This window comes from Homo sapiens, chromosome 19 (assembly GCF_000001405.40).
Source record: "Homo sapiens chromosome 19, GRCh38.p14 Primary Assembly".
Lineage (NCBI taxonomy): Eukaryota > Metazoa > Chordata > Mammalia > Primates > Hominidae > Homo > Homo sapiens.
Genome location: NC_000019.10, coordinates 52,561,846 through 52,581,813, shown reverse-complemented (window position 1 = coordinate 52,581,813; position 19,968 = coordinate 52,561,846). Strand labels below are relative to the sequence as shown.

The following is a 19,968-nucleotide window of genomic DNA, read 5'->3' as shown; positions in this document are numbered from 1 at the left end:
AAAAAACCAGACAAGGTACTATTTTGGTAAATAATCCACAACAAGCTCCTGTAAGGATAATCAAAATCAATGGAATTTCTGTATTGTCAAAGAATCATAGCACTGAGAAGATAAGAAAATATTACAAAAATTAGGCAGGTGTGGTGGCCCACGCCTTTATAAAGTCCCAGCTACTCAAGCGGCTGATGCACAAGAATTGCTTTAAGCCAAGAGGCAAAGGTTGCAGTGCGCCAACATCGAACCACTGCACTCCAGCCTGGGTGACAAAGTGAGACTCCATCTCTAAAGAAACAAGGCAGGGCATGGTGGTTCACGCCTGTAATCCCAGTATTTTAGGAGGCCGAGACAGGCAAATCACCTGAGGTCAGGAGTTCGAGACCAGCCTGGCCAACATGGCAAAACCTCTTCTCTACTAAACATACAAAAAGTAGCCAGGTGTGGTGGTGGGCACCTGTAATCCAAGCTACTTGGGAGGCTAAGGAAGGAGAATTGCTTGAACCCGCGAGGCCAAGATTGTGGTGAGCTGAGATTGTGCCACTGCACTCCACCCTGAGTGGCAGAGTGAGACTACCTCTCAAAAAGAAAAATGTTAACACCGTATTTTTCTAAATAACTGTTACAAAATTATCTATATCCATGTGGAACAGGCACTTTGTGACTTTTTTTTAAAAATTTTGTATTTTTATTTTTTTGAGATGGAGTCTCACTCTGTCACTGGACAGAGTGCAATGGCATGATCTTGGCTCACTGCAGCCTCTGCCTCCTGGGTTCAAGCAAGTCTCTTTGCTCAGCCTCCTGAGTAGCTGGGATTACAGGCATGCACCATCATGCCCGGCTAATTTTTATATTTTTAGTAGAGATGGGGTTTCACCATATTGGCCAGGTTTGTCTCAAACACCTGACCTCAGGTGATCCACATGTCTCAGCCTCCCGAAGTCCTGGGATTACAGGCATGAGCCACTGTGCCCAGCAGCACTTTGTGACAGTAACGAGTGGAGTGTGTCAGTTATATTGCATATCACATACTGAAAACTCACAGGTAAAGTCATAAAAATCAGTTAATAAAATATTGATAAATATTTTCTGGCTTGATAAAACAAGCCAGAAAATAATAAGTACATGTATGCAGCCTGCAGAATTGTAAACAATTCCCTATTAAGAAAAAAGCCACAACTTGTACTTACCACTAGTACACAACATAAGAATTGAAATACATGTTAAGGTCACTACTTTCTGATGTATGAGGTCAAAACTATACACAGCACTATAAGGAATAAGAATTGACTAATGTCCGGGCACGGTGGCACATGCCTGTAATCCCAGCACTTTGGGGGTCTGAGGCAGGTGAATCATGAGGTCAGAAGTTCGACACCAGCCTGGCCAACATGGTGCAACCCCATATCTACTAAAAATACAAAAACATTAGCTGGGCACGGTGGTGGGTACCTGTAATCCCAGTTCAGAACTAAATTTTTTAAAATAAAAAGGCATGAAAAAACACTGTATATATACGTTAGCAGAAATGCAACATACACAGAAATAATTCTGACAAAAATAAAAATTTCTAAAAAGGCTGGGCGCGGTGGCTCACGCCTGTAATCCCAGCACTCTGGGAGGCCGAGGTGGATGGATCACAAGGTCAGGAGATTGAGACCATCCTGGCTAATACAGAGAAACCCCATCTCTACTAAAAATACAATAAAAAATAGCCGGGTGTGGTGGCAGGCGCCTGTAGCCCCAGCTGCTCGGGAGGCTGAGGCAGGAGAATGGTGTGACCCCGGGAGGTGGAGCTTGCAGTGAGCTGAGATCGTGCCACTGCACTCCAGCCTGGGCTACAGAGCGAGACTCCATCTAAAAAAATAATAATAATAATTCTAGAGGAGAAGTAGTTTTTGCAGGTTATGAAACTTTATTTATTTATTTATTTATTTATTTATTTTGAGATGGAGTCTCACTCTGTCTCCCATGCTGGAGTGCGACGGTGCGATCTCAGCTCACTGCAACCTCTACCTCCCGGGTTCAAGCAACTCTCGTGCCTCAGCCTCCTGAGTAGCTGGGATTACTGCCACCCACGACCGTGCCTGGATAATTTTTGTAATTTTACTAGAGACGAAGTTTCACCATGTTAACTAGGCTGGATTTGAATACCTGACCTCTGGTGATCTGCCCACCTCAGCCTCCCAAATTACTGGGATTATAGGCATGAGCCACTACACCTGGCCAGGTTATGAAAATTTTAGGTTTCATTATTATGCTATAACTTTAAGATTTTTTTTTTTTTTTTTTTTTTTTTGAGACAGAGTTTCGCTCTCGTTGCCCAGGCTGGAGTGCAATGGCACAATCTCGGATCACTGCAACCCCCGCCTCCCAGGTTCAAGCAATTCTGCCTCAGCCTCGCGAGTAGCTGGGATTACAAGTGCCCGCCACCACACCCGGCTAATTTTGTATTTTTAGTAGAGACGGGGTTTCTCCATGTTGAGACTGGTCTTGAACTCCTGACCTCAGGTGATCCACCCGCCTTGGCCTCCCAAAGTGCTGGGATTACAGGCGTGAGCCACCGCGCCTGGCCAACTTTAAGATCTTTAACATACCTGCAACAATAACCACTTCCCAAAACTACTTCTCCTCTAGAACTTTTTTTATTTTTGTCGGAATTATTTCTGTGTATGTTGCATTTCTGGTAACATATATGTACAGTGTTTTTTTCATGCCTTTTTATTTTATCTATACAACACACTTCATTTCTGTTTACTGAAAGAAATGGGCACGGCGGGGCGCGGTGGCTCACGTCTGTAATCCCAGCACATTGGGAGGCTAAGGCGGGTGGATCACGAGGTCAGGAGATTGAGACCACGGTGAAACCCTGTCTCTAATAAAAATACAAAAAAATTAGCCAGGCGCGGTGGCGGGAGCCTGTAGTCCCAGGTACTCGGGAGGCTGAGGCAGGAGAATGGCGTGAACCCGGGAGGTGGAGCTTGCAGTGAGCCGAGATCGCACCACTGCACTCCAGCCTGGGCGACAGAGCAAGACTCCGTTTCAACAAAAATAAAAGAAATGGACGCTAACGTAGTTGTTATATTCACACTGGAATCATGTTTAAACCATTTACATGTTTACAAAGAACTAAAAGACAAAACTGTTTAAAATAATAACAATAGTTGAGCTTGGCGGCTCACGCCTGTAATCGCAGCGCTTTGGTGTAGGGTCCAGCCCTGCGGGCTTAGCGGGTGTTCTCTTATGCGGAGATGAGAGATTGTAATAAATAAAGACATAAGACAAAGAGATAAAGAGAAAGCAGCTGGGCCTGGGGGACCACTACCATCAAGACGCGGAGACAGGTAGTGGCCCCAAACAGCTGGGTGCGCTGATATTTATTGCATACAAGACAAGGGGGCAGGGTAAGGAGGGTGAATCTTCTAAGTGATTGATAAGGTGAAGCAAGTCACGTGATCATAGGACAAGGGGCCCTTGCCTTTTAGGTAGCCAAAGCAGAGAGAGAAGGCAGCATACGTTAGCGTTTTCTTCTATACACTTCTTTTTTTTTTTTTTTTTTTTTTTTTGAGACGGAGTCTCACTCTGTCGCCCAGGCTGGAGTGCAGTGGTGCGATCTCGGCTCACTGCAAGCTCTGCCTCCCGGGTTCATGCCATTCTCCTGCCTCAGCCTCCCGAGTAGCTGGGACTACAAGTGCCCGCCACCACACCCAGCTAATTTGTTGTATTTTTAGTAGAGACGGGGTTTCACCATGTTAGCCAGGATGGTCTCGATCTCCTGACCTCTTGATCTGCCCGCCTTGGACCCCTAAAGTGCTGGGATTACAGGCAAGAGCCACTGCGCCCGGCTCTTCTATGCACTTCTAAGAAAGATCAAAGACTTTCACTATTCCTTCTACCGCTATCTACTATGAACTTCAAAGAGGAGCCAGGAGTACGGGAGGAGCATGAAAGTAGACAAGGAGCATGACCATTGAAGCACAGCACCACAGGGAGGGGTTTAGGCCTCCGGATGACTGCGGGCAGGCCTGGATACTATCCAGCCTTCCACGAGAAGCTGGTGGAGCAGAGTGTTCCCTGACTCCTCCAAGGAAAGGAGACCCCCTTTCGCGGTCTGCTAAGTAACGGGTGCCTTCCCAGACACTGGTGTTACCGCTTGACCAAGGACCCCTCAAGCGGCCCTTATGCGGGTGTGACAGAGGGCTCACCTCTTGCCTTCTAGGTCACTTCTCACCATGTCCCTTCAGCACCTCACCCTATACCTGCCAGTTATTCCTAGGTTATATTAATAATGCAACAAAGAGTAATATTAAAAGCTAATGATTGATAATTGTCCATGATCATCTCTGTATCTAATTTGTATTATGACTCTTCTTATTGTAACTATTTTCTTTATTATACTGAAACACTTTGTGCCTTCAGTCTCTTGCCTTGGCACCTAGGTAATCTTAGGTCCACACTTTGGGAAGCCAAGGCAGGTGGATCACTTGAGATCAGGAGTTTGAGACCAGGCTGGCCAACATGGTGAAACCCTGTCTCTACTAAAAACACAAAAATTAGCTGGGCATGGTGGTGAGCGCCTACAGTCCCAGCTACTCAGGAAGCTGGGACACAAAAATCCTTTGAGCCTGGGAGGTGGAGGCTGCTGTTAGCCAAGATCGTATCACTGCACTGTAGCCTGGGCAACACAGTGAGACTCTTTCATAAAATAAGAAAAAGAAAGAAAGGAAGAGCAGAGGGATAAGTGGGGGCAAAGAAAGATGTCATTTCAGAGATCTCAGGATTGAAACTTTCCTTTTCCAACAGAATTCTCCCACTTGCAGAGTTTCCCCACACACTATTTGAAGGTGGAGCTTCCACTCTGCCCATCTGAGCTCTTACCTGCATTTACACCTATAATACATTCCCACCCATCTGGAGTTTTTTGATATTTTCACTTCACTCTCCACAGTCCAGGGCCCTTTCTCTTGCTCCAACATGGAGATAACATATCAGCATGAGACTCCTGCTTATAAAAAGAAAGTACTAAGACGTGCTGGAGCTTTTGTAGAGTCCCAGCCCTATATTTCTGTAGGAAAGAAGACATTACAGGTGGATCTAGGAAAATATTTTACTAATTGCTCCACTGACTGCCTCCTTCTGAATGCTTGGAGAGCACTGTAACATGTAATATGTGGACATCAAGCTCTCTTCCAAGAACTACTGAATCGAAAGCACAGGAAAAGCAAACAGGAAACTGGATATGATTAAAGTCTGCCATAAGGTTTTGTTTTTTTGTTTTTTGAGAGAGAGTCTTGCTCTGTTGCCCAGGCTGGAGTCCAGTGGTGTGTTCTCAGTCACTGGAACCTTGGCCTGCCGGGATCAAGCGATTCTCTTTCATCAGCCTTTCTAGGAGCTGGGATTACAGGCATGCACCACGACGCCCGGCTAATTTTTGTGTTTTTAGTAGAGACGGGATTTCTCCATGTTGGCCAGGCTGGTCTTGAACTCCTGACCTGAAGTGATCCACACGCCTCAGCCTCCCAAAGTGCTGTGATGACAGGTGTGAGCCACCACGCCTGGCCTGCCATAAGCTTTTATGCTTACTTTACTTCTGGAACCCCCACTGAGCTATCATGAAGAATGCAGAACATCTAAAGGGGACAGTGAAAGTCCAGATGCTACATCATGAAGCTTTTCATTTCTAACTCAATACGGCTTCCATTTTAGCCAAGCAAGGATGTGGCTCCCAAGAGGCAACAAGAGAAAATACAAAGATCCACAAGGGCACATCCCCACTTCTGGAGGGAAGTTATCCTCACCCAGGGAGACCAGGTTCCTATAATTCTCCAGCATCACGTCTCTGTATAGAGTCCTCTGAGCAGGGTCCAGGCATTTCCACTCCTCCTGAGAGAATTCTATGGCCACATCCCTGAATGTCAGTAGACCCTGAAAGGAAAACACATTTTAAGCAAATGGTTATGGGAGGAGATCTTATCTTTACAGAAAATGAGAAGAGGAGAGGGGAAAGCATGGATTTAATTGCAGAGAATGTTCCGACAAATCCAAGTAAGGGATTCTTCACCACATGATGTCTTCCCAGTGGTGTTTGATTATACTTTCTGAAGAGCTCAGGATACCCTCTCAGTATGAATTGCTTACGTTAGAAATAAATAATTAGCCGGGTATGGTGGCAGGCATCTGTTGTCCCAACTACTTGGAAGGCTGAGGTGGGAGGACGGCTTGACCTTGATGGTGGAGGTTTCAGTGAGCTGCGATTGCACCAAGGCATTCTAGCCTGGGCAACAAAGCAAGACTCTCTCTCAAAATAAAATAAAATACATGAAAATAAAATTAATCGAAGTACAAAATTCTATTTTGTATATGTTAAAAAAAAAATAAAACCTACACACACTCACAAAAAACCACGTTAATACAAAGTGTTGTCATTTGTCTCAGATTTTCAAAATATATACATATGTGTGTGTGTATATATGTATGTGTATGTATATATGTGTGTGTATATGTATGGGGTTGTGTGTATATATATAAAGGTTTTAAAAATACAAAAAGTAGGCCAGGCACAGTGGCTCATGCCTGTAATCCCAGCACTTTGGGGGGCTGAGGCGGGTGGATCACAAGGTCAGGAGATCGAGACCATCCTGGCTAACACGGTGAAACCCCGTCTCTACTAAAAAATACAAAAATTATCCGGGCGTGGTGGGGGGTGCCTGTAGTCCCAGCTACTCAGGAGGCTGAGGCAGGAGAATGGTGTAAACCTGGGAGGCGGAGCTTCCAGTGAGCGGAGATCGTGCCACTGCACTACAGCCTGGGCAACAGAGCGAGACTCCGTCTCGAAAAAACAAACAAACAAACACAAATATATATATATATGCAAATTTTGTTTAACTGAAGAGGAATCTCATCTTGGTGGAAAAGGATAATTTGGCAGCTGCAAGTACTGCTCCCATATTTGAGAAAAATTGTAACCATTTTTACAAAAAACACCTGTTTCAAAAGCCTCTCCACAGTAACACCACTGTCTCCATCAGCTTAATTTGCTAAGAATGGTTTAATAAATCTCCTGCTATTATTTAGGTTGATTTCATATTCTTTAAATAAGGATGGAATAAAACCCCTGTATCATTCATGTCTGTTTATGAACTTTCCATTCTAATTAGTACAATTTTTTGAGTCAGAAACACAGTAACTCACTCAATTACCTAAAAATGTGGTATAAAATTAGGGAGAAAAGATTTTCCCTTATTGGTCTCCTTTTCTAGAATTTACCACGTACTTTGTGCACATTAATAGGTCACTTCCATTGGCAGCTGCTCTAATCCTGGTCCACAGAGAGTTGACAGTGCATCCAGATGTGGCCCCTGAACAATCCCTGCTGCCCAACAGCACTGACACTGCGGGACCCTCACCCCATCTCCATACATGTCTGGGTGTGAGCCCTTCCCAGGACCATGCCCAGTGCAGCCTCTTCCCAAGTTCATGTCACTCAGTCACAAGAGATGGAATCTAAGTGAGATGACAGGGACTGAGGGAAGGCATGAGTTGAGTGTGAGCAAACCTGTCAGGCAGGACACTTGAGACTCAGAGAAGATTCCCAACTCCAAGATCAGCATTTCTGAAAGGAAGGAGACAGAACAATCCCCCGAGAATATCATCTCACCTGAAGAAGAGCCATCCCTGACTCCTTTGCTTTCCTCTTCCTCTTCCGTGTTTTTTCCTCACGTACCAAGTCTTTAGAAGTCAATCCTGAATGTTAGAAATATGTTGTTTACTGCTCAGAATCAACACACCTCCTGCCTGTAACACAATGACACATACAAAGGTGCCCTCACTCTGAAAAAATATGGTCACCTCTGCTGCCCACTGCACCAGGGATAATAAATTTCTATAAGAAAACTCTCGCTTCCCTCCTGGAGAAGCCCTCACACGCTGCAGCAGTGGGGAGCTGGGCTGGAATGAGCTCCCTTTCAGGGCACAGACCCAGCCCTGACCAAATCCCATGCAGAGGCTCGGTGCGGTGGCTCATGCCTGTCATCCCACCGCTCTGGGAAGCCAAGGTGGGTACATCGCTTGAGCTCAGGAGTTTGAGACCAGCCTGGGCAACATGGTGAAACCCCATCTCTACCAAAAATACAAAAACTTAGCCAGGTATGGTGGTGCACGTCTGTGTGTCTCTGGTCCCAGCTACTTAGGAAGCTGAGGGGGAGGATCAGTAGAGCTCAGGAGTTTGAGACCAGCCTGGCCACCATGGTGAAAACCTGTCTGTACTAAAAACACAAAAATTGGGGCTGGGTGCGGTGGTTCATGCCTGTAATACTAGCACTCTGGAAGGCTGAGGTGGGAGGATTACTCAAGTTCAGGAGTTCAACAGCAGCCTGGCCAACATGGTGAAACCCCATATCTACTAAAAATACAAAAAGTAGCTGGGCTTGGTGGGCATTGGTAAGCCCAGCTACTCGGGAGGCTGAGGTTGGAGGATCGCTTGAACCTGGAAGGTGGAGGTTGCAGTGAGCCAAGATCGCACCACTGGACTCCAGCCAGGGCAACAGAGTAAGACTCAAAAATAAAATAAAATACAAATACAAAAATTAGCAGAGTATGGTGGCACACACCTGTAATCTCAGCTACTTGGGAGACTAAGGCACAAGAATTGCTTGAACTCAGGAGACAAAGGTTGCAGTGAGCCAAGATCACAAGACTGCACTCACAGCCTGGAGGACAGAGCGAGACTCTTTGGAAAAAGAAAAAAAGTGTGTTTCTGATGTGACTGACACAGAGATAATAAAACCTGAGTAATGTGATAGAGACTGATGGGCAGAGGGAAATTCAGTTGGGGGTGGGAGGGCATGGGAGACATTTCTGAGCCAGGACCTGAAGGAGAAAGGGACAGTGCTGTGAGCATTTAGAGAAATAGGGTAAGAGCAGTGAAAATGACCTGAGACGGGAAGGGTTTTGATGTTTGGGAAAAGAGAAAAGCAAATGTGACTGGGGCAGAGGGAGTCATGAGATGAGGGCAAGTTCCCAGGAGGAGCCTGGACAGTGGCAGGGGCCCTGGACACAGGGCTGTGGAGTGACAGTGAGGAGTTGGGCTTTTGTCCTGGGGAACACAGGAAGCCCATGGAGGGTTCCCTGCCAGGGACTGACATGATCTGCTTTAGATTTAGCTGTGACATCCTCAGAACGGGGACATTTTCACCGAGTCACGCTGAGAAGGTCTGAGATGAGTGAAAAGATGTAACGGAATTCTTACATGGTGGCCTGGAAGGGATAAAGGAAAGGGTTGGCCTTATCAAAACTATCCTTGAAAATTAGAGAAGCCTCTTTCACATACCTGGGATAAAGAAACTTCCTTTGCAAGTTCTGATGCCACTGATTCCCAACATTTAATTCTTCCTCACAAGAAAATTACAGTAACATTTATAAAATGCAGATGTACAAAGACACAGCTAGTTACCTTCAAAACAGGGAGGCTGAGTGCGGTGGCTCACACCTGTAATCCCAGCACTTTGGGAGGCCGAGGCAGGCGGATCACCTGATGTCGGGAGTTCGAGACCATCCTGACCAACATGGAGAAACCCCATCTCTACTAAAAATACAAAAATTATCTAGATGTTGTGGCACTTGCCTGTAATTCCAGCTACTCAGGAAGGCCGAGGCAGGACAATCGCTTAAAACCGGGAGGTAAAGGTGGTGGTGAGTAGGCCGGGCTCGGTGGCTCATGCCTATAATCCCAGCACTTTGGGAAGCCGAGGTGGGCAGATCACCTGAGGTCAGGAGTTCAAGACCAACCTGACCAATATGGAGAAACCCCATCTCTACTAAAAATACAAAATTAGCCTGGTGTGGTGGCACATGCCTGTAATCCCAGCTACTAGGGAGGCTGAGGCAGGAGACTCGCTTGAACTCGGGAGGTGGAGGTTGCAGTGAGCCGAGATCGCACCATTGCACTCCAGCACGGGCAACAAGAGCGAAACTCCGTCTCAAAAAAAAAACCAAAAAGGGTTGCGGTGACCCAAGATCACACCATTGCACTCCAGCCTGGGCAACAAGAGCGAAAGTGCATCTCAAAACAAACAAGCAAACAAACAAACAAAAAGCAGGGAAAGAGGGTCAGCTGTAGAACTAAGACATAAGCAAACTTTTTCAATCAAGAATGCTTGGGTGGCCAGGTGCGGTGGCTCACGCCTGTAATTCCAACACTTTGGGAGGTCGAGGCGGGTGGATCACCTGAGGTCAGGAGTTCGAGACCAGCCTGGCCAACATGGTGAAACCCCGTCTCTACTAAAAATACAAAAATTACCTGGGCTCCATCCTCACGTCTTATTTAATCTCTTGTTGCTCCTTCTCCCCAATTCTTCGATCGTCCTCAATCTCCATATATTTCCGCCTCTTATCCCATCTCTGCATCTCTGCCGCTCTCCCTGTTAAATTCTCTCTTCTCTGTTTTACCCCCCGTCCCCACTCTCTAGCACCCCAGATCCCCAGGCGTCCTCCCTGCTGTGGTTCTCCCTCTGTTCTCCTTGCCACCAGCACCACTCTGCTCTGTCTGCCCTGGCTCCAAATTCCTCCTCTCTCTCTCTCTCTCTCTCACTCTGATGAGCCTCCCTCTTTGCTGCCCCTCTCTACCTTGCTGTCTGTCCTTCATCTCTCTGTACATCTAGCTTTTCTCTACATTTCTCCAGTTGCTTTTCTCCTCCTGCTTTCTTATCTTTTTTTTTTCACTTTTGCTGTCTCTTGGCAAATCCCTCACCCATCCTCTACTTTGCCATCTGTTATGGGTCTTTCTCATTCTTCTTTTCTCTGTCTCAGGTTTTCTACTACTCTCTGTCTCCTGATCTCTTTAGCCCACACAATCACAGGAGGGTTTGAAGTAAGACGCCTGCATCCCAGAGAGGCTCATTTTTCAGGGGTTGGAGCTAGGCAGGCAAGAACACACCGTGTCACAGGACTGGCCCCTGGCACCTCCCCAACGCTGGCTCAAGGAAAGTGGTGACTGCTAAGGGGAGACTTGGGGTGCAGCAAGGCCCAGCATGAGGCGGGAGGTGGGGTGCGACGACGCCTTCGGTGGGGTCCACAAGATCCCAGCACCAGGCAGAGAACTCGGCCTCCCTGAGACTGGGATCGCGACGTTTGCGCTTCAGGCGCCTAAAGGTTGAGACTGGGAGGCGCCCAGGCGGAAATACACATCTCGGGTGAGGACTTTGAAAAGCGCGGGGAGGGAGGAGTTAAAAAACGGTTTTGAGCACAGAAACTACGCGATAGGAAGTGTATACAGCGCCCTGTAGCAGAAAGACTGGAGACGGGAACAGCCTCAGGGCGACTTTAAACACAAAAGGAAGCGACTTCCGGATTCCCAGGGGAACGTCTGCATTTGCTCTGGTTGAAGGAAGATGGGCGAGAATTTACAGGTCTGTGGTGACCCCACGTCCCAGGTACGGAAGTGCCGGGGATATGGGGAGTGCAGACTTAATACAACACAGAGCAAAACTCACCGCCGCGGTGCGACCTTCACTCCACGGGATCCGCTTCCTGGTCTGCGCGGATGTGTGCGCACAGGACTAAAGCCAGGCCTGGGTGGAGCCAACGAGAAGGTGGGCGGGGCCTGATCGAGGTAGAGGCGGGGCCCCAGGCGGAGAGACCTTGCCCTTTAGAACCGGCAGAGGGCGGGGCCGGGGCGGGACCTGTGCGTCTCTCAGCCTCGCTCCCAGCGACTCTATTTTTCGGGCTTTGGAGGCGAGAGCGGTCAGGAAGGCTGAAGCACGATTCGAAAGCCCTGGAATTGTCTGGAACGGGGATGCAAACAAGAATGTAAAATGCAAAGCCCTGCCTGGGCGGAACGTACAATTTCATGCTGACGGCCCACAGAACAGAACAGAAATCCTCTCCCTTTCTATTCTCCATTCACTCAGGAGGGAGAGTCCACCCTGTGCTCAGCTTCAGAGACTTCCCTAGGGCCTCCGCCTGGGATGCGCGACGGAGTGTTCAGGCCAGGGAGGAGTGAAGTCACCACCTACTGCTTAAACATAGCAGGAATGCGGCCAGGTGGGCGGGAGCCTGAGGGCCAGAGGCGGGAGGATCACTGAGCCTGGGGGTCCAGGCCAGCCTGGGCGACAAAGTAACACACCCTCCCGCAGGGCTCCCCTCATCGTCTCTTTTAATTTTTAAAATAAAATTTTGATTGTGTGAGATAGGGATACAACATTATTCTTTTCCATGTGGATATCCAGTTAATTGTCCCAGCACATTTGTGGAAGAGATCTATTACTTTCTTTTTTTTCTTTTCTTTTTTTTTTTAAGACGGAGTATTTCTCTGTCGCTCAGGCTGGAGTGCAGTGGTGACATCTCGGCTCACTGCAGCCTCTGCCTCCTGGGTTGAAGCGATTCTCCTGCCTCAGCCTCCGGAATAGCTGGCATTACAGGCACAGGCCACCATGCCCGGCTAATTTTTGTATTTTGGGTAGAGACGGGGTTTCACCATGTTGGCCAGGCTGGTCTCGAACTCCTGACTTCAAGTGATCCGCCTGCCTCGGCCTCCTGAAATGCTGGGATTACAGGCGTGAACCACTGTGCCTGGCCCAAGAAATACTCTTCACTTCGCTCTTAAATGTTGAGAAAATACAATTGAAAACTAAAAAAATCTTCCCCTAAATGAGAAATCATCTTCACGACGATAACAGAGAAAGAAATAAAAACTATTTTATTAATAAATAGGCCTTAGACCAGCATGTGATGGGAAATAGAGGACAGTTGAGAGGTTGAAAAGAGAGAAAGAAACTTCACTGTTCTATACAACCCAAATACATGTTTTCAAGATAAACACTGATCAGTCCTCAGGGAAGAGGACTTGACAACACCCTTGGTCACACATAATTCATCCTGGCTCTACTTGGTAATGGAGGTGACCATCTGTGTCAGCTAACTAGCATCATCCTGAGGGAGGGGGAGAAACCCTAACCCATGTATTTTTGGCAAGTGTGAGTTTTACAGCATGGCGGACAGGTGCCCTCTCTGGTGAGGCTCCTACAATCCAACAGAAACTGATGTCAGCAGTAAATAATGAAATTTAGAATACATTATTAATTATAGAGTTTATTTGGACACAAAGCATGAGAATAGCCACCTGGAAACCTCAACTCCAAATGAATGGGGTCAGCGTTCCCAAGTAGAGACATTAACATTTCACACACACAAGGAAATACAGAGAAGCTTTCCCAGAACCACCACATTTTCCATTCAAGTCCAGTGCATAGGCTGCGGCAGCTTGACTGGTGATGGAGTGATACACTTCAAGGAAGGTTACATTATCACTCCATAAGAAGGGACAATGATGCCAGGAGGTCTTATCTCTGGGGCTGCTTAGTTTTCCTAATTATTTACACGAAAACTTTTTAAAATTGATATTAGGAAACTAAATTGTATAGCACATTTTGTTTTGTTTTGTTTTGTTTTGGGAAGGCGTCCTGCTCTGTCGCCCAGGCTGGAATGCAGTGATGTGATCTCGGCTCACTACGACCTCCACGTCCTGGGTTCAAGCAGTTCTCCTGCCTCAGCCTCCCAAATAGCTGAAAATACAGGCGTGCGCCACCATGCCCGGCTAATGGCTTTGTATTTTCAGTAGAGACGGGGTTTCCCCATGTTGGCCAGGCTGGTTTCTAATTCCTGACGTCAGGCGATCCGCCCGCCTCAGCCTCCCAGAGTGCTGGGATTACAGGCCTGAGCCTGCATGCCTGGCCAGGAAAACTTGTAGAAGTTGCGCCTGCATGCCACCGGACTCAGGTTGCATGACCACGTTCCTCTCAAGGTTCCGAATTATTTAAAAGTCTGTAGCTTTAAATTTGAAATAGCTGATGTTTGAAATATTTAATTTCCTACTGACTTACAGGTACTATCTCCCTTGTTGCTTGCCTTTCAAGAAGAGATTCTAAGTCCTTCAGAAGTACATCTCTGGGTTATTATGCTGAAAAAAGGTTTAATTACTTTCTAAAATATTCTACTTCAGGCCGGGCGCGGTGGCTCAAGCCTGTAATCCCAGCCCTTTGGTAGGCTGAGGACGGCGGATGGCCTGAGGTCGGGAGTTCGAGACCAGCCTGACCAATATAGAGAAACCCCGTCTCTACTACAAATATAAAAATTAGCCTGGAGTGGTGGCATGAGCCTGTAGTCCCAGCTACTCCGGAGGCTGAGGCAGGAGAATCGCTTGAGCCCAGAAAATGGAAGCTGTGGTGAGCCATGATCATGACATTGTACTCCAGCCCAGGGAACTAGAGTGAAACTCAGTCTCAAAAACAAAATAATAATAATAATAATAATAATAATAATAATAATAATAATAATAAAAAATACAGCTGGACAAGGTGTCTCAAGCCTGAGCGAGACTCCGTCTTAAAAAAAAAAAGAAAAAAAAAAGAAAACTACCAGTTACACAGTAGGGCGACCTCAAAAACAAAGGGAACTGCCTTCTCTTAAAGTTTCTCTTACATAGGTGCTTAGGTAAAAACTAAGGTATGTCTACCTGCCAGTGGGCTGACAGTGTAACAAAACTTATTACTTTGTTGATTTAAAGCTATCCTTGGCCGGTTGCATTGGCTCCCGCCTGTAATTCTGGCACTTTGGAAGGCCGACGTGGGGGCATCACCTGAGATCAGGGGTTCGAGACCAGCCTTGCGAACGTGATGAAACCCCGTCTCTACTGAAAATTCAACGATTAGCCGGGGGTGGTGGTGCATGCCTGTAATCCTAGCTACTCAGGAGGCTGAGGCAGGAGAATCGCTTGAACCCGGAAGGTGGAAGTTGCAATGAGCCGAGATTGTCCTATTGCACTCCAGCCTGGATGACAAAAGTGAAGCTCCATCAAAAAAAAAAAAACACCTATCCTTGGTATTTTAGTGTGCAAGTACGTGAAAGCATGACTGTAATTAGCTTAGAAGCATACATTGTCATGGGATATTGGGTCATCTGGACATTGTGTTTATGTAGGAGTTTGTCCTTGCAGGTATGATTAAGCTGCTTTTCTTAACTGTAAACATCTTAAGACCATGAGTCATGCGTGAGCAGTAAGGAATGTATGTTGCTAGTTTTAATGGACTTGAACTTTGTCACCCTAGCTCCCCTAGGATCCTGTTTAACAGTTTATCCACTTATGCACCAGAGTCCTAAGCACAATTATGGAGACACCATCCTTTTGTAATGTATCTGACAGACTGAGCTTCTGCCCCAAGAACATAGTAATAGCAATACTAAGTGAAATATTATAAAGTTTTGTGTATCTATGTAATTATCTATTATTTGCGTTTTAAATTAGCTAAAGTTATATAGAATGGGTTTTTATTTCAATCTAATACTAGAAATATATCTTTTGGCCCAGCATAGTGGCGCATACCTGTAATCTCAGCACTTTGGGAGGCTGAGGCAGGTGGATCACCTGAGGTCAGGAATTCAAGACCAGCCTGACTAACATAATGAAACCCAGTCTCTACTAAATACAAAAGAATTAGCCGGGCATGGTGATGCATGCCTGTAATCTGAGCTACTTGGGGTGCTGAGACAGGAGAATCCGTAGTACCTGGGAGGCAGAGGTTTCAGTGATCCGAGATCGCACCATTGCACTCCAGCCTGGGCAACAAGATTGAAACTCCGTCTCAAAAAACAAAACAAAACAAACTATATATATATATATAAAATCTTTCACAAATGGACTCTAATCCCACAAAGTTGTAAAGCATTTCCCTATGGTGAATAAATATGAAGGAGTTGAGATTTTGGAACTGATTTGTGCTTTCCATTATACTCATTTTTTCCTTATTCTATCTTGATCTTTTCTGTGTTCATGAGCTTGTGATCCAAAAGTATCTACTAGGTCTCAATGAATTTAGAAATCTATTTTGCCAAGGTTAAAATGCACCCATGACACAGCCTCAGGAGGTCCTGATGACGTGTGCCCAAGATGTTCAGGCTGCAATTTACAAATTTAGGGTGACATGAGACATCAATCAATACATATAAGATACACCTTGGTTCGATCTGGGAAGGTGAAATAACTGGAATTGCGGGCTTCCAGGTCACAGGGAGATAACAAATGATCACATTGTTTGAGTCTTTGATCAACCTTTCATTGAATACACAATTTATATGTGAGAGAGGGTGGAGGAATAGTCACTTATGCCTTAGGCTGGCTCAGTGACCCTGAATTTTTACATAAAAAATAGGTCAGGGGAAGTAGTCAGACAGACATTTGACTCAGGTGTGCAGAGGGATGGGTTCTTTCCTACACCTGTGAAGATAAGCTCTCAGTTTACATTGCCAGGGTGAAATTCAACAGAACTATTTTGGGGTGGAGATCTTGAGGCCCACAGTTTGTGAGTGGAGTATGTAGATTTTTGGTTTAGTCCTTGTAGCTATATTGTTTAGGAATAAAATGGGAGGCAGGTTTGTCTAACACAGTTCCCAGCTTGACTTTTCTCTTTGGTTAGTAATTTTGATTTTCCTTTCACAAGTATTGTGACAGACATAATGCTTTGACACACTGATATTGTTTTTTATTTTTTCAGATGGAGTTTTGCTCTTGTTGCCCAGGCTGGTGTGCATTGGCGTGATCTTGGCTCACAGCAACCTCCGCCTCCCAAGTTCAAGCAGTTCTCCTGCCTCAGCCTCCTGAGTCGCTGGGATTACACAGGCATGTGCCACCATGCCCGCCTAATTTTGTATTTGTATTTTTATTTATTTATTTATTTATTTTTTGAGACGGAGTCTCACTCTTTCGCCCAGGCCAGAGTGCAGTGGTGCTATCTCGGCTCACTGCAAGATCTGCCTCCAGGGTTCACGCCATTCTCCCTGCTCAGCCTCCCGAGTAGCTGGGACTATAGGCCCCTGCCACAGCGCCTGGCTCATTTTTTGTATTGTTAGTAGAGACGGGGTTTCACCGTGTTAGCCAGGATGGTCTCAATCTCCCGACCTCGTGATCCGCCCGCCTCGGCCTCCCAAAGTGCTGGGATTACAGGTGTGAGCCATCGCACCCTGCCTAATTTTGTATTTTTAATACAGACAGTTTCTCCATGTTGGTCAGGCTGTTGTTGAACTCCTAACCTCAGGTGATTCACCTGCCTTGGCCTCTCAGAGTGTTGGGATTACAGGCATGAGCCATCACTCCCAGCTGCTGATATTGTTTTATATAGATTTTTTCCCTAACAGTAAAGTCCAAGGGTCTTTCATGAACTGGGTTAGGGAAGATGAGAAGATTCCCAGGAAACTCCTGGTCTCAGGCAATCCTCCCACCTCAGCCTCCCAAAGTGCCAGGACAACAGGTGCGATCCACTGAACCGAGTGGAGTCTCCATCTCAAAAAACAAAACAAAGCAAAACAGAAATTTAGGTAATCTATTATGTCATTAAAATTTTTTTTTTGAAATGAAAGGTCTCACATGTTTATTACTGAACCCACCCAACCAATGCGTTCATAACAGATTCAGAGAGAAAAAAATATATTCCCAATAAAACATGTCCAAGTCTCCAGATGGTAGTGACATTTTCAGCTTAAGTAACGTGATTATGATGCTCACACAGCATAAATATGTGTGCCATCTCACGTGCAATTCCTTATAGACCCAGCTTGGTTCTTCTCCAATGTCTCCTTTTAAAGTTGGACCTGATTTTATTGCCAGTTTTCATTCGAATCCACTGGGAAATCGGACGATTTTACTTTTGGTTGTTGGCCAGAAACCGCTTAATCCTGAAAGTCTTGTGAGAAGACATGACAAGAAGTGGAGTCAAGCACACACCATGATGGCAGACAAAGGAGGAGAGGGGGCTAGACCTTTTTGTTTGTTTGTTTTAGACAGAGGTTTGCTCTTGTTGCCCAGGCTGGAGTGCAACGGCAGGATCCCGGCTCATCGAAACTTCCGCCTCCCGGGTTCAAGCAATTCTTCTGCCTCAGCCTCTTGAGTAGCTGGGATTACAGGTGCCCACCACTGTGCCCAGCTAATCTTTGTATTTTTAGTAGAGACGGGGTTTCATCATGTTAACCAGGCTATTATTGAATTCCTGACTATTGTTTCTCCTGTTTGCTGTTCTCTTCACTGCAGCACGAACAAGATTAACTTTTTTTCTGTAAAACTGATGTGGATGGTCTGCCTGCCGCTTCATGCATCACTTTCAACATTGTCTTGTCACAACTCAAAATAAGTTATTCATTTACAAACTGTTTATTTCTTTTGGGCATCAACTCCATAGCCTGTTCATAAACTATCAATGACTTCATTATTCCTGTACCCAAACTTTACAATAAGTATTCTTTTTTAGACAGCATCTTGCTCTGTCAACCATGCTGGAGTGCAGTAGCATGATTACAGCTCACTATAGTCTTGACCTCCCAGGCTCAAGCCATCCTCCCACTGCAGACTCCACAGTAGTTGATACTGCAGGCATGTGCCATCATTCCCAGCTAATTTTTGTATTTTTTGCAGAAACGGGGGTCTCACCATGTTTCCCAGGCATACCACTTACTGAAAAGCCTTATGTAAAATCATAAAAATTAATTAATAAAATATTGTAACCCATGATAAGACTAGCAACGAAATAATAAGTACATTTATACAGCCAGCAGACCTCTAAACAATTCCCTCTTAAGAAAAAAGCCACAACTTCTACTTACCACCAGCACACACTATAAGAACTGAAATACATTTAAGATCACTACCTTCTGATGTATGAGTTCAAGTAAATACACAGCATTATAAGGAGTAAGAATTGACTAACGACAGGATGCGGTGGTTCAGGCCTGTAATCCCAGCACTTTGGGGGGCAGAGGAGGGCAGATCACGGGGTCAGGAGTTGGAGACCAGCCTGGCCAACATGGTGAAACCCCATCTCTACTAAAAATACAAAAAAATTAGCTGGGCACGGTGGTAGGCACCTGTAATCCCAGCTACTCTGGAGGGTGAGGCAGAAGAATCATTTGAACCAAGGAGGCGTAGGTTGCAGTGAGCCGAGATCATGCCATTGCACTCCAGCCTGGGTAACAGGGCAAGACTCTGTCTCCAAAAAAAAAAAGAATTGACTAACAGTGTCAGAGGGTTCAATTATGATATCACAACTACAGTTATATAACAGCCAGGCAATACAGCAATTCTATGTACATGCATTGCCCTTAGTTATGTAGTTCACTATGCATGAAATATAAAACACAGACTGTATACTGGGAAAATTTATAAACTGGGATCAGAGAAAACATTTTATAAAACAAATTGCACAATAAAAACATAAAAAATATGATGCAGGCTCCCTGGTCTGAGTGTTCATATTGGCCAAAAGCCATGTTCAGAGTTCTTATTCTCCAATTGGATGTTCCTGCAGATGGGGCCTTTGAGAGAATTTGGTCATGGGTGTTGACTACATATGAATAAGACTGGTGCTTTTATTTATATTTTTTCTTTCTTTCTTTCTTTATTTTTGAGATGGAGTTTTTCTCTTGTTGCCCAGGCTAGAGTGCAATGGCATGATCTTGGCTCACTGCAACCTCCACCTCCAGGGATCAAATGATCCTACTGCCTCAGCCTCCCATGCAGCTGAGATTTCAGGCATGTTACACCACACCCAGGTAATTTTTGTACTTTTAGTAGGGAAAGGGTTTCACCATGTTGGCCAGGCTGCTCTCAAACTCCTGACCTCAGGTGATCCACCAGTCTCAGCCTCCCAAAGTGCTGAGATTACCTGACTGGTCTCAAACTCTGGACCTCAAGTGATCTACCCACCTTGGCCTCCCAAAGTGCTGGCATTAGAGGTGTTAGCCACTGTGGCCAGCCAGTCTAAGCTATTTCTAACAGGACAGTGAAATGAGGGAGACAGGAAAAGGAGCATGCCATCATCAACATCAGGGAAGGCTGACATATCTTATTACACAAAGGAAGTTTAGAGCCTGTAGCATAAAACCTGCAATATGTGAAGCCATCTAATAGCATTAATTTGTTTTAAAACCCTGGAGGCA

At 45.7% G+C, this 19,968-nt stretch overlaps 2 protein-coding genes and 1 pseudogene across 15 annotated transcripts in view, besides 3 other annotated features; all 3 read right to left on the bottom strand.

Moving 5' to 3' along the window:
• The window catches only part of ZNF701 (zinc finger protein 701), a 29,863-nt gene extending 18,336 nt beyond the window's left edge, over positions 1–11,527 (bottom strand). For 4 of the 14 annotated variants that reach the window (XM_047439071.1, XM_047439072.1, XM_047439074.1 and 1 more), the window contains exons 1-3: positions 9,446–9,574; positions 7,652–7,737; positions 5,793–5,919 (exon numbers count right to left, since the gene is read on the bottom strand). In XM_047439071.1, the coding sequence (XP_047295027.1) occupies positions 5,793–5,919; positions 7,652–7,737; positions 9,446–9,572 (340 nt within the window). In that variant the 5' untranslated portion in view covers positions 9,573–9,574. The other 10 variants (XM_047439077.1, XM_047439076.1, NM_001433681.1 and 7 more) reach the window with 9 other exon arrangements.
• Positions 10,490–11,098: an enhancer, noted in NCBI's record as "H3K27ac hESC enhancer chr19:53073969-53074577 (GRCh37/hg19 assembly coordinates)". NCBI's record gives its function as "activates a minimal SCP1, AML or CMV promoter by ChIP-STARR-seq in naive H9 embryonic stem cells {active_cell/tissue: H9 hESC(naive)}" and the evidence as "EXISTENCE:reporter gene assay evidence [ECO:0000049][PMID:30033119]".
• Positions 11,259–11,508: an enhancer, noted in NCBI's record as "active region_15051". NCBI's record gives its function as "activates an Ori minimal core promoter by ATAC-STARR-seq in GM12878 lymphoblastoid cells {active_cell/tissue: GM12878}" and the evidence as "EXISTENCE:reporter gene assay evidence [ECO:0000049][PMID:35858748]".
• Positions 12,318–12,927: an enhancer, noted in NCBI's record as "H3K27ac-H3K4me1 hESC enhancer chr19:53072140-53072749 (GRCh37/hg19 assembly coordinates)". NCBI's record gives its function as "activates a minimal SCP1, AML or CMV promoter by ChIP-STARR-seq in naive H9 embryonic stem cells {active_cell/tissue: H9 hESC(naive)}" and the evidence as "EXISTENCE:reporter gene assay evidence [ECO:0000049][PMID:30033119]".
• ZNF808 (zinc finger protein 808) overlaps positions 13,061–19,968 on the bottom strand; it is a 41,086-nt gene continuing 34,178 nt past the window's right edge. Inside the window, exon 6 of the transcript XR_002958314.2 lies at positions 13,061–18,496. The gene's annotated coding sequence lies outside the window, so the exon portion shown is untranslated. The remainder of the gene's footprint in view (positions 18,497–19,968) is intronic.
• RPL39P34 (ribosomal protein L39 pseudogene 34) lies at positions 17,389–17,791 on the bottom strand (annotated as a pseudogene).